General features: G+C 39.7%; 1 long non-coding RNA gene across 4 annotated transcripts in view, besides 1 other annotated feature; it reads right to left on the bottom strand.

The window, feature by feature from the left end:
* Nucleotides 1–690: 690 nt before the first annotated feature.
* The window catches only part of LOC105375369 (uncharacterized), a 36,563-nt gene continuing 24,205 nt past the window's right edge, over nucleotides 691–13,048 (bottom strand). For all 4 annotated transcript variants that reach the window (XR_927704.3, XR_001744958.1, XR_001744959.2 and 1 more), the window contains one exon: nucleotides 691–922. This is a non-coding gene — a long non-coding RNA (uncharacterized LOC105375369). The remainder of the gene's footprint in view (nucleotides 923–13,048) is intronic.
* Nucleotides 4,864–5,406: an enhancer, noted in NCBI's record as "OCT4-NANOG hESC enhancer chr7:79295772-79296314 (GRCh37/hg19 assembly coordinates)". NCBI's record gives its function as "activates a minimal SCP1, AML or CMV promoter by ChIP-STARR-seq in primed H9 embryonic stem cells {active_cell/tissue: H9 hESC(primed)}" and the evidence as "EXISTENCE:reporter gene assay evidence [ECO:0000049][PMID:30033119]".

Genomic DNA, 13,048 nt, shown 5'->3' with positions numbered 1-13,048 from the left:
TTACCTTAAATGTGATTGTTTTCACCTTTTCTTTCTAAGCCTACCCCAATACAGGATATAATCATATTACATCTGTATTACTGCAATACATTCCTAAATGTTGTAGGAGGCACCAGCAATCTAACATTGGTGCAATTGATACTACAGCCTTGAGACACTCTTTTAAGCAAATTGCTAGAAACAAACAACTTAAAATGAAAATCTAACCTTTATCAGCTCTACACTGCTACCAAATTCTCAGTTCAATAGTTGAAGCCCTATACCATCATATATCACACCCTGCATGTCTACACTAGCAATCACAGTCTGAAATCTAAACCTATGATGCTTCAGTCCAAGCATCATCTCCAAAACAAAAGAAAATAAGTAAGGAGATGAGTTAAATGTATTATTTTAAAATATGTATTAGTCCATTTTCACACTGCTGATAAAAACATACCCAAGACTAGGCAATTTACAAAAGAAAGAACTTTAATGGAGTTACAGTTCTACATGGCTAGGGAGACCTCACAATCAAGGTGGAAGGTGAAAGGCACTTCTTACATGGTGGTGGTAACAAAAAGAATGAGAGCCAATGAAAGGGGTTTCCCCTGATAAAACCATCAGATCTCATGAAACTTATTCACTACCACAAGAACAGTATGAGGGAAACTGCCCCCATGATTCAATTATCTCTCACTGCGTCCCTCACATAGCACATGGGAATTATGGGAGTACAATTCAAGATGAGATTTGAGTGGGGACAGAGAGTGAAACCTTATGAGCGGTAGCTGGCTCCTCCCAAAATCTCATGTCATCACATTTCATAACCAATCATGCCATCCCAACAGTCCCCCCAAAGTCAACTCATTTCAGCATTACCTCTGAAGTCCACAGTCCAAAGTCTCATCTGAGAAAGGCCAAGTCCCTTCTGCCTGTGAGCCTGTAAAATCAAAAGCAAGTTAGTCACTTCCTAGATATTATGGGGTACAGGCATTGGGTAAATACAGCCATTCCAAATGGGATAAATTGGCCAAAACAAAGGGGCTACAGGCCCCACACAAGTTCAAAATCCAGTGAGGCAGTCACATCTTAAAGCTCCAAAATGATCTCCTTTGACTCTGTCTAACATCCAGGTCATACTGATGCAAGAGGTTGGTTCCCATGGTCTTGGACAGCTCCACCTCTGTGGCTTTTCAGAGTACAACTTCCTTCCTGGCTGCTTTCACGGGCTGGCATTGAGTTTCTGTGGCTTTTCCAAGGAAATGGTGCAAGCTGTCAATGGATCTACCATTCTGGGATATGGAGGATGGTGGCCCTCTTCTCAAAGCTCCACTAGGTGGTGTCCCAGTAGGGACTCTGTGTGGGGGCTCTGACCCCATATTTTCCTTCTGCATTGCCCTAGCAGAGGTTCTCCATGAAGGCTCTGTCCCTGTAGCAAACTTCTGCCTGGGCATCCAGGCGTTTCCATACATGTTCTGAAATCTAGGCAGAAGTTTCCAAACCTCAGTTCTTGACTTCTGTGCACTCACAGGCTCAACACCTCGTGGAAGCTGCCAAGGCTTGGGGCTTGCACCCTCTGAAGCCACGACCAGAGCTCTGTGTTGGCTCCTTTCAGCCATGCCTCGAGCAGCTGGGACACAGGACACCAAGTCCCTAGGCTGCACACAACCTGGAAATCCTGGTCCTGGGCCATGAAACCACTTTTTCCTCCTAGGCCTCTCAGCCTGTGATGGGAGGGGCTGCCATGAAAACCTCTGACATGCCCTGGAGTCATTTTCTCCCATTGTCTTGGGGATTAACATTCAGCTCCTCGTTACTTATGCAAATTTCTGCAGGCAGCTTGACTTTCTCCTCATAAAATGGGATTTTCTTTTGTATTGCACTGTCAGGCTGCAAATTTTCCAAACTTGTATGCTCTCCTTCCCTTATAAAACTGAACGTCTTTAACAGCACCCAAGTCACTTATTCAACACTTTGCTGCTTAGAAATTTCTTCCACCAGATCCCCTAAATCATCTCTCTCAAGTTGAAAGTTCCACAAATCTCTAGGGCAGGGGCAAAATGCCACCAGTCTCTTTGCTAAAACATAGCAAGAGTCACCTTTGCTTCAGTTCCCAACAAGTTCCTCATTTCTATCTGAAACCACCTCAGCCTGGACTTTATTGTCCATATCATGATCAGCATTTTGGGCAAAGCCATTGAACAAGTCTCTAGGAAGTTCCAAAGTGTCCCACATTTTCCTGTCTTCTTCTGAGCCCTCCAAACTCTTCCAACCCCTGCCTGTTACCCAGTTTTAAAGTTGCTTCCACATTTTTGGGTATCTTTTCAGTAGCACCCCACTCTACTGATATCAGTTTACTGCATTAATCCATTTTCACACTGCTGATAAAGACATCCCCAAGACTGGGCATTTTATAAAAGGAAGAGGTTTAATGGACTTACAGTCTCATGTGGCTAGGGAGGCCTCACAATCATGGCAGAAGGTGAAAGGCACTTCTTACATGGTGGCAGCAAGAGACAGAATGGGAACCAAGTGAAAGGGGTTTCTCACCTTATAAAACCATCAGATCTTGTGAGACTTATTCACTACCATGAGAACAGTATGTGAGAAACCACCCCCATGATTCAATTATCTCCCACTGGGTCCCTCACACAACAAATGGGAATTAAGGGAGCACAATTCAAGATGAGATTTGGGTGGGGACACAGAGCCAAACCTTATCAAAATGGTATATAACAGTGAAAATATGCTCAAGTCACTATCCTTGAACCAGAGCCATGAAAGAACAAGGTAGATTTGGGAAACAGTAAATAGTTTTGTGTGGCTTCAATATAAACAAGATGGCCAGGAAAAATGAAAACTGTTAAGAAATGTCTATGTCATATTAAAGAACCAAGATTTTATGCAACATACACAAATTCATTGAAGAATTTTAAGCAGAACAGTAACTTGATTAGATTTGTACTTAAGAAAACTGTCCTTGAAAGCCTGTGGATGATTTATTGTCAGGGAGAGAGATTAGGGAGTTTAGTTTGGAAGTCCAAATGAAAAATGATGATGGCCCCAAATAAGAAAATGATACTGGAAGAGAATGATTTGAGGACAGGAGTTATTTCTTATCCCTTTCTTTTGGCCACAACACTTAGCAGAGTGCTTATCACCTATCTGTCCTTAATTTCAAAATGACTCTATAGGTAAGAAAAAGTAACTAGTGTCAAAATGTGACAAAAATATAAATAACTGTCACATTTTATAGTTTATTCATGTAACACTATGTTATTAAATGTCTCTGATATGGTTTGGATGTGTGTTCCCTCTCTATCTCGTGTTGAAATGTGATTCCTAATGTTGGAGGTAGGCCATAGTGGGAGGCATTCCATCATGGGGGTGGAACCCTCATGAATGGTTTAGCACCATTCCTTTGGTGATGAGTGATTTCTTGCCCAGTTCATGAGAAATCTGGTTGGTTAAAACGGTCTGGGACTTCTTCCTTCTCTCTCTTGCTCCTCCTCTCTCCATGTGATATGTGGGCTGCCCCCTTTACCTCCCACCATGATTGTAAGCTTCCCGAGACCCTCACCAGAAACTGAGCAGATGGTGGTGCCATGCTTGCTGTACAACCTGCAGAACCATGAACCAAGTAAACCTCTTACCTCAGGCATTTTTTATAGCAAGAAAAATGGACCAACACAGTCTCTGAGAGTACTGTTACAACCAATCTGTTAGCAGACTTATTATGAACCACCTCCCCACTACAGAATGCTTTTCATTCTGGTTCCATCATGTTTATGGTAAAAACACTCAAAGAGGAAAATTCAGCCCTCTTTCACTTATCTAATTTACTCCTTATTTCAGCCAAAAGAAAACAAGCCAAACATCCCCATTAAATCTTTTCCCTATCCAGTAAATACAAAGCTACTCAATTTCCCTGGCTAATAACACATATGTTATCATGAATGTTTTTCTTTTTAATTCACTTTGCTTTCTCAGCCATAGTGTCAGTTTATTGAGGGTAAGGATTTAATTTCTCAACACTTCTAGAATTGTACAAGGTGCAGCATGATAGACACTTTAAAATAATGTTGGTTTATTAGTTCCTAAATTTAGGCATATTTAAGTCACTGATATTATTTTACATTAAAATACAATTACAGTTGAGGAGGGATGATTTTCATATCACTGTGATGTACAGGTGCTCTAGACAGCTTTGAAAGTTTGAAACTTTGTAGGTTTTTCTGAATATTTAAGATGTCATATTTTATTATTGTTACGTGCAAAAGAAAGGAACTGTGGCTGTGACTTGCATAAAAAAAATTCAGAAGGATGGAAAAGTCAAGTCTAAACAGGCTTTTCTTCACAAAATCCTAGATGTAAGTGTGTCACCAAGATAAAAGCCATGGAAGCATTGTATGAAAACCTTGTATTGATCCAATTTTACTGATAGAATTAATTGCAATGGATTTTGTTCTCTTATTTACATAATACAATTTATAACTACATTTTAGTAATATTAATCTGAACCTTTTACCTTTTAGGTTCAAAGTGATTTGTTAAATGTGCTTATGACTTTAATAGTGAGAAATAACCATAAAAATTCACTAACCCATGTTTGGACTCAAGGCTGCTTGTGCATGGGCCACACCCAGGCCTTGCAATCATTAATTAAGGCAAGGGTCAATGTGAAAATGGGGAAAAAATTACAGGTGCACAAATTGAATACTGCTGAAGGTCTATTTGCCTGGCTTGTCAGTCTTAGCTACCACCTCATCATGGGAAGAAAGGGGGTCATAACAAAGCATATTCAAGAAACATTTATTTAGTGCCAGTTATATGCCGGGCAACCAAACCCTGAAGCTATAAATCTGAGCCGTCCCCGGAACCTGACAATCTGCAAGGATCAATGGTGTCCTCTGAAATTCAAAGACCATACCAGATCATTTATTTCAGCTCAACTACTATGTATCCAGTCCTCAAAATATATGTCTAGTTATCCAACTAAATAATTTAATTGGCTCTTGTCTAACTCTGAGTTGACCAATTTTGTCCCTCAGACTTTGCATAACATTTACCTCTCCAGGAAAGCTGGAAACAAAGCAAATGCAAATAGCTTTTACCTCTCTTCTAGGTAATTCCCTTCTCAAATAGAAAAGATAAAAGGAAAAGCCTGGCTAGGTGTGATGGCTCACGTCTCTAATCCCAGCAGTTTGGAAAACTGAGGCAAAAGGATTGCTTAAGCCAGGAGTTCAAGGTACAGTGGGCCGTCATCACCCACTGCACTCCAGCCAGTCAATGGAGCCAGACCGTCTACAAAGGTTAAAAAAAAAGTCTAATTAATTGTATCTACTAAATATCTTGAATCTCTTCACTGCATTCCACAGTCCTTGTTATCACCTGCTCTTGCCTGGACAATGGCAAGTGCTAATTATAATTTCTGGATGTTCTCCTTCATATCCACTCTTGCCCCTTCAATCCATTCTTCCTAGAGCAGCAAGGGCAATCCTTTGAAATCTGAATCAGTACCTGTATACCCTACGTAAAATTTTCAATTACTTCTCATAACATGTAGAATAAAGAACACAATACATGGCATTAACATGAACTCTAAAATTCCATGTGATTTTAGCTCTGTATCGTGCTACTTTACCTGAAACCCGTGCTCTCTGTAAGACAGGCTATTTAAGTTTCTCTACTTCACCTTGATACTTTGCACTTACTGGAATCTTCTCACTGTCTGTATAACTTCTCTTCCCTAGTTTGCCTGGTTAGTTCTTTAAAGCTACACTAGCTGATATGGAAGCCACTAGCCATATGGCTATTGGGCACTTGAAATGTGGCTGGTTAGAATTGAGATGTGTTATATAGATACACTGAACTATACACTGGATTTCAAATACTTAGTAATAAAAATATAAAATAGTAGGTCTTCTGTTAAGTACTCTTACCACCAAAGGAAAAGCCAAAACAGAGCGATAGCAGCAAAAAACCCAAAGGGGTTGGGAGAAACCTTTTGGAGGTAATGGATACATTTACAGCATTGACAGTGGTGGTGGTTCATATGTGTATAGTTATCTCCAAACCCATCACGTTGTGTACATTAAACATGTACAGCTTTTTGTATGCCAATCACACCACAATAAAATGGTTATAATACACACAGGCACACATACACAAAGAATGTAAAATAGTTCATCACTAATTTTTATATGATTGTGTGACAGAAGAATAGGAAATTAGGGTAACCAAGGTTTAAAACATAAGCAAAAAAAAAAAAAAAAACAAAACAAAAAAACAAGCAGGTGCATCCAATTCTAGGCAAGAGTAAGCAGCATACAGGCCACATCCTCACTCCTGTGATAACAAGTTTCCACTTAAGCCTCTGCTTGGCTGTAGGCCAAGTCTCCACTTCAGCCACTGGTTAGTTGTGGGCCAGTCCTTCACAGGGTGTAACCAATTGGAGTCTAAAGGGTCTCTAGTGATGGCAGATAAGGTGTCTTTTTCTTCCAAAAGGGAATTTTTGGCTGAGGGGATCCCTCTTGGCAGTAGGTCCAACTTGTGAGTTTGTTCACAATAGTAGTGGCACTGGTGTCTGATGAGTAGCACTCATTGAGTTGTCACTGAGCTGAAGCCTAAAGCATGAACACACATGGAGAGATGATAGCTCTGGAATCTCGGACAGTAATGGCATTGGTGTCTGGAGTACTAGCACCCTTCTGCTGCATTGGTAACAGTATGCAAGGGACAGATGCTTGTGAAGTATTCAGGGAGCCTATTATAGGAACATAGTTGTGTGCAAAGTTACAGTGGCCCTGGGCGTGGCCTCTGAGCCTGGCCTCAGCCAAGCTCTCTATGGCAGCTGAGCTGGTGTCCAGAATGCAGGCATGCTCAGAGAGATTTTGGCTCTGGGGCTTGGAGTGCAAACTAGTTTGCTATGACAGTGCTCTAGCTTCTGAGATGTAAGCAGTTAAAGTGCAACCACAGAGCACAGGGCTGGAGTATGGGCACTTTGGATATAACCATAGCTTTGGAGTTGGGGCATACAGAAGATTTGGAGAGGTGGCATTTCTTTTCCCAAAGCAGCTCAACAATGGCTGCTTTTTATGGGGTTAGAGTTGTGTACCCAACTCTTCCTCTCTAGAGTTTCCTGGTGGAAATGGATGTTTGTTACCTCAGTTACAAAAGGAACCAGTGTTCTCAACAGAGCTGGCCACTGGAAACCAAGGTGGTTCCAGCCACATGGCTGATACCTACAGCCTCTGCCTTTCTTCTTTGTTCTTAGACATTTACTGGCATTTCAGGGATGTCGATCTCACCAGTATTTCTTTCTGTGTGTATATTCTCCATTTGTTGTTGTTTGTTTGGTTTTAAATTTTTTTTTTTTGCTTTTGTTGAGGGGGTTGGGGGGATGAATACTGCTATTTCCTACTCTGCCACCTTGTCCCTTGTTGATGTCATTTCAAAGTCATGTAAATATGTTTTTCTCACAGTAATGCAGAAAGATAGGAACAGAAAGATGGGTACTGTAATCTTAATTTGTGTCGGTGAGAAAATTGAGGGTCTGAAAGTTTATAAGGCAAGCCTGAATTTGAACTCTGAGTCTCTCATATTTAAAATCACAAAAACACACCTATTCTGATGCTGAATATTTATGACACAGTTGAGTATAACAGACAAACAGAGAGCCAAATCATGAGTGAACTCCCATTCACAATTGCTTCAAAGAGAATAAAATACCTAGGAATCCACCTTACAAGGGACGTGAAGGACCTCTTCAAGGAGAACTACAAACCACTGCTCAATGAAATTAAAGAGGATACAAACAAATGGAAGAACATTCCATGCTCATGGGAAGGAAGAATCAATATCGTGAAAATGGCCATAGTGCCCAAGGTAATTTATAGATTCAATGCCATCCCCATCAAGCTACCAATGACTTTCTTCACAGAATTGGAAAAAACTACTTTAAAGTTCATATGGAACCAAAAAAGAGCCTGCATCACCAAGTCAGTCCTAAGCCAAAAGAACAAAGCTGGAGGCATCACGCTATCTGACTTCAAACTATACTACAAGGCTACAGTAACCAAAACAGCATGGTACTGTTACCAAAACAGAGATATAGACCAGTGGAACAGAACAGAGCCCTCAGAAATAACGCCGCATATCTACAACTATCTGATCTTTGACAAACCTGAGAAAAAGAAGCAATGGGGAAAGGATTCCCTATTTAATAAATGGTGCTGGGAAAACTGGCTAGCCATATGTAGAAAGCTGAAACTGGATCACTTCCTTACACTTTATACAAAAATCAATTCAAGATGGATTAAAGACTTAAACGTTAGACCTAAAACCATAAAAACTCTAGAAGAAAACCTAGGCATTACCATTCAGGACATAGGCACGGGCAAGGACTTCATGTCTAAAACACCAAAAGCAATGGCAACCAAAGCCAAAATTGACAAATGGGATCTAATTAAACTAAAGAGCTTCTGCACAGCAAAAGAAACTACCATCAGAGTGAACAGGCAACCCACAAAATGGGAGAAGATTTTCGCAACCTACTCATCTGACAAAGGGCTAATATCCAGAATCTACAATGAAATCCAACAAATTTACAAGAAAAAAACAAACAACCCCATCAAAAAGTGGGCAAAGGACATGAACAGACACTTCTCAAAAGAAGACATTTATGCAGCCAAAAAACACATGAAAAAATGCTCATCATCACTGGCCATCAGAGAAATACAAATCAAAACCACTATGAGATACCATCTCACACCAGTTAGAATGGCAATCATTAAAAAGTCAGGAAACAACAGGTGCTGGAGAGGAAGTGGAGAAATAGGAACACTTTTACACTGTTGGTAGGACTGTAAACTAGTTCAACCATTGTGGAAGTCAGTGTGGTGATTCCTCAGGGACCTAGAACTAGAAATACCATTTGACCCAGCCATCCCATTACTGGGTATATACCCAAAGGACTATAAATCATGCTGCTATAAAGACACATGCACACGTATGTTTATTGCGGCACTATTCACAATAGCAAAGACTTGGAACCAACTCAAATGTCCAACAATGATAGACTGGATTAAGAAAATGTGGCACATATACACCATGGAATACTATGCAGCCATAAAAAATGATGAGTTCATGTTCTTTGTAGGGACATGGATGAAATTGGAAATCATCATTCTCAGTACACTATCGCAAGAACAAAAAACCAAACACCACATATTCTCACTCATAGGTGGGAATTGAACAATGAGAACACATGGACACAGGAAGGGGAACATCACACTCTGGGGACTGTTGTGGGGTGGGGGGAGTGGGGAGGGATAGCATTGGGAGATATACCTAATGCTAGATGACGAGTTAGTGGGTGCAGCGCACCAGCATGTCACATGTATACATATGTAACTAACCTGCACATTGTGCACATGTACCCTAAAACTTAAAGTATAATAATAAAATTTAAAAAAAGAAAATATTGACATAGGAAGTAAATAAGGTTCTCACCAACTTTCTCTTTCCATATATTCTTTTGTTAACAATTACAGTTGTAGTTTATAATACTGAGCAAAGGGAGAGCTGGTATCTCTGTCTCACCATGGATCAATATAATGACTCCATTAGCACAAAACACCTAGCTATCATTACCTCAATTTGTGTATGCAATACATTGTAAAGTTGTCATAGAACATTCTTTATTCTATGCTTTAATGTCATGATATTTAGGAATGGCCATTATCTGGGAGCAATGTTGCCATATAAGGCCCATTAAACTATGAGCCACACTTAAAAGAATTTCAATTAAAAAGATTTTTAGACGCTGGGGCTCTTTCAAAATCCTTTCTGTTCCTTTGCAAAATATGTGGTTTCTTTTTGGCTAAAGATTGTAACATCTTTTTCATTTGCTAGAATATTCTACCCTCAAAGTAAAAGTCTTATTAACATAATCAAAAACTGAAATGCATTTCTCAAAATTAATATAAATTAACTGCTGAGCAATTTAGTCCATTGCTTTTGACAGACATGTCACTAAATTGTGAAAACGAAATGCTGCTAAGTGGCAGAGATCATGGCACTGAGGATGAAATGTAGACTCTAGGGCCCAAAGCAGCTATAAGAGAAGCAAGTCATGCAAGGTCTTCAAATAGAAAAAAACTTGGGGGAAAATTTGTAGCAAAAACTTATTTTGTAAGATGACAACTTGTTCTATATTTACCGTTGCTATATTTTATAATAACGTAGAGAGAATTCTCACCCACCCGCATCATGGATGACAGCCCAGTGTCTTCATGCATAATCCTCTCACCTTGCTCTCAGAAACTCTAGTTCCCTGAAGGTCTTCTGTTCTTTTAGCTGGCAGATACTAGGCATATCACAGAAGCAACACATTTCACACCAGCACATAGGCATTGAGCTAAGCTTCCTATGTAGCCAATTCAACGCAAGCATTACTAAGCAATTCTAACAGAATGATGGTTGACACTTTAGCCTCTCTGTAACAGCCAAGAAACACAGAAGTCAGGCAGTGACCAGAAATAATAGTTTCTGGAACAATTAACATTATGAGGATATATGAGTGTCCCAGCCCAATAACTTAGAATTTTTCAAACATGAGAAATTTATCTTTTGTGAAAGCAAACAAACCAAGCGTGAAGTCTATAAACGTGAATGTGAATGCAAAGATGGATAAAAAGTATTCATGTTAACTCAATGACTTATCTGGAAGAGAACGTTTATCCTGTGGTGTGGAGGCTAGCATTAAGGAGTCAGCCCAGCTGCTTTCTTCACCTTACAATAAGCACATGTCACATTATCAGCTGTAACATTCCACTTCCATTTCTTTGCACATACTATTCCCCTGTCCCCAGAAGTGCAGCCTCTGCGAACCTCCACTGTCTCCTTCTTTTGCAATTACTCTTGACACCATAGAATTAATGATTTACTCCAATTGTCTTATTCTCTGGTAGTCTATACTACATAATTTAATCATTTAGATAACTGAATAATCTGTGGACATCTGGCACATTCTGAAGAAGTCCAAAGGAACGTCAGAGGAAGAGAATAAAATGACTTTGCGCGCACACACACACACACATACACACAAATTTTCCATCTGAAATTTGGGAGTGATGGGAAACATATCACTTCCACTGATACCCATGCCAATATTACCAGGCAAAATATAAGGGATGCTACAATTATTTGAAGAACTAAATCACTCATTTCCTGCTTAACTGAATTATTGATCTTTCTCACCTCTCACCTCATCTAGATGTGTGGGTTGCTCTGCCTCATGGCGATTGAGATGGAAAACAAAGTCCCTTCATGTCACCAATATCTACATCTGTAACTAAATAAGCTAGACAGATATTTCTTTGACTATTGGAATTGTTAAAAGTAGAACATACATTTTAACTGTTTTGAAAACAGATGCTTCTATAAAGTAAAATGAGAAAATCTTTTATCCCTTATCTCCAAAGTCATTCCCCAACAGACTATATGTTTTCAGGGTGACGGAGTGTATGTGTGTGTAATATTGAAGGGACTTGCTATTCTAGGAACAATAGGGGAATAACTATCTTTATCTCTCACCTTTTCTCTTCCAACCTGCTCTTCTTTCCCAGCTCTTAAGGAAAATATCTTAAACTCACAGCTTTATGATCATTTTCAGGCATTAAAGGAATATTTATTTTTTAGGTCTAGAAAATTCCAGGTTGATCTAAATCAAATGTTCTGTATCTTAATTCAAAAGTTCTCTGCTGTTCCTCAGCTCAAGACTGACACAGACTGGAGAATCTGAAGTGGGAAAATGGGTGTGGTCTGTTTTCTTCCCTTTGGGCTCTTTTCTTCTTTATTTTCTTCGCTGTTATGGTCATTTTTCTTTCCCCCCTGTCTTTTAACCTGCTTTTGTTTCTATTTCATCCAGGATCAGATGACACAGGAAGGAAGGATGGAAGGACATATACATGACTTATTCAACACCGATTGTCACCTGAGGTCAGTAGCTGTATTCCTGCTGTTGCTATGATAAATTACTACACATTTTTTTTTTTTTGCTTAAAATAGAGGAAATTACTTATCTTAGAGTTCTGGAAGTCAGACATTCAGAATTAATTTTATGGGACTGAAATTGGGATGTTAATAGGGCTACACTTGTTCTGGAGTCTCTCGTGGAAAATCCGTTTTCTTTTCCAGCCCCTAGAGGTGGCGTGCACCCCTGGTCTTGTGGCCCTTTCCTCCACTTTCAAAGCACATCACTCCAACCTTTGCTTCCATTGTCATATTTACTTCTCTCATCCTGATACTCCCGTCTCTTTCTTATAAAGTCCCTTGTGATTATTCCAGGACAATCTAACCATTCAAGATTCTTAACTTAATCATATCTTTGATTTCCCTTTTGTCATTTAAGTTCTGGGGATTATGACATAGACATTTTTCAGGGAGGAGGTCATTATTCTGCTTATCACAGCAGCATCCCTCAACAATTTTTATTGATTCTTCAGTCAAGCACAGTAGTAATTGGTACTTCTGCAAGACCAAGGGACACTGTTTACATTCTCAAATTCTCTGGACCATCATACTCCTGTGGCAGCAGAAGATTCCAAGTCACGTCACCCCTACCTGGCTTAATTTATGTGCAGGGAAAGCACTTGGCAATTTCCTAGAGAAGAAGTGGGAGGGTGTCCAACACTCTTTTGGCCCAGTTTTGGGCCAAAAAGTGAATACCTACTTATTGACCTTGCCCTCCTAAATGCTTCCTTGATTTTTTTTCAACTCTGCACAGCTTGCAGCTGAGTATGAGCCAAAGTCCACAAGTTCTGTTACATTACCACTGAGTCAGTGTTGTGGTCTATCACCTTGCTCTAGAGTGTTTGGGGCCTCAGCAGTCATGGTCTTAGCATGGGACCTTTGGCAAAGTCTCAAGATAAGGGGAAGATATAAATTAAATTTCCTGCTACATATAAATGTAAATTTAATTTTAATCATCTGAAAAAGATATTAAATTTTACTTATAAGATTTGGGGCAAAAGTCTCTCCTCTCCCAAAGACAGTCTATCAT

Source organism: Homo sapiens, chromosome 7 (genome assembly GCF_000001405.40).
Source record: "Homo sapiens chromosome 7, GRCh38.p14 Primary Assembly".
NCBI classification, from domain to species: domain Eukaryota; kingdom Metazoa; phylum Chordata; class Mammalia; order Primates; family Hominidae; genus Homo; species Homo sapiens.
The sequence above is the reverse complement of the archived record's forward strand: the minus strand, read 5'-3'. Positions and strand labels throughout refer to the sequence as shown.